Raw genomic sequence first — 1,267 nt, 5'->3', positions numbered from 1 at the left:
ACACCCTGTACTCCAATGCCATGGATTTCTACCCTTTGGTCTATACAAGAAAGATCCAGAGCTGCCTTCAGGGACCCAAGAGCCAGCCTAGAACCTATTAGAATGGCAAAGGCTGAACATGGGCAATTCCTCATTCTGAGCTGCAGGCTCCCAACGTGCAAAAGAAAAAAGATTGCATTGGATCAAATATCATATATTTGTGATCTGTGAGCTACACCTGGCTCATATATGTGTTTAGTTTGACCCACGTGATTTTTAAATTTTTATTTTATGGTAAGAGAGATAAGGTGATATCACATTTTAGAAGTCTAAATTGCCAGCTTCTCAGGAAAAATCAGATTTGCTCACTTTCTGCTTATGTCTCCACACAGCAATTACCAGCTGATGCTGAGTAACTTCTGCCCCCTTAAAGCCAGGCACATACTAACTGGTTCACCTCAATCTGCACCACTCTGCTGCCCAGTGCCCAGTGTGTGGCTATTCAAGGATATTGCAGTGTTTCTTTGGACCCGTGTGAGAATTATGTACTATGTGGCACAATAAATGGGAATACATTGGTTTTCAAGGGCTGTTTGATCCCTGTGATTGGAACCTGCATTTATTAGCAGGCTTGATGAGTGTGGGGTTGGTCTGCTGTTTTCCTAAACTTGAATATCTTCAAGCCTGTGATATTTCTTCCCAATGTAACATATTACTTGGCATCTAGAGAAATGGTACTTAATTTTAGAAGAGGTCACAGATGCCTTTGGGAATTTGATAAAAGCTGTAGACTTAGTAAGGGTGGGAATATGCACATAAAGACACAAATGTTTACATACAGTGTCGGGGGTACAAAGACACCCCCTCGCCCCCAGCACATCCCTGGCTCTCCGAGGAGTCCTCAGATCTTCATTCAGAATCCCTGCCCTGGAGACTTCCCCCTAAAATAGGAGATTGGTTGTTTACATCAGCTCCATTCTCTCCCAAAACTTAATCTTACAATAATAATAAAAGAATATTTAAAGCATAAGCCTACAGGGACAAAGAAAATGAGAAAGAAGACAACTGCCAAAAAAAAAGTTGGACACTGGAAAGTAAATAGATAAGAAGTCATTGGTGTAATAGACTCGAGGTCATTGGTATAATAGACTCAAGAAAGCTGAATCCTAAGTCCGCAGTGGGACTTAGGAGAAGCAGTGTGACGTGCACAGCAGATTGTCTACAACACTTGTGGAGACGGTACTACTATCTCTGGAAGTGGGAGTGAAGATAAGGCCACACGTGGGCA

General features: G+C 42.2%; 1 annotated feature.

The window, feature by feature from the left end:
• Nucleotides 578–747: an enhancer, noted in NCBI's record as "experimental_81810 CRE fragment used in MPRA reporter constructs". NCBI's record gives its function as "activates a minimal promoter by MPRAs in K562 erythroleukemia cells, with activity observed for the non-introgressed 5:145740161 variant allele {active_cell/tissue: K562}" and the evidence as "EXISTENCE:reporter gene assay evidence [ECO:0000049][PMID:34662402]".

This window comes from Homo sapiens, chromosome 5 (assembly GCF_000001405.40).
Source record: "Homo sapiens chromosome 5, GRCh38.p14 Primary Assembly".
In the NCBI taxonomy this organism is placed as follows: Eukaryota; Metazoa; Chordata; class Mammalia; order Primates; family Hominidae; genus Homo; species Homo sapiens.
Note: the sequence above shows the minus strand (reverse complement) of the source record. Positions and strands in the feature narration are given on the sequence as shown.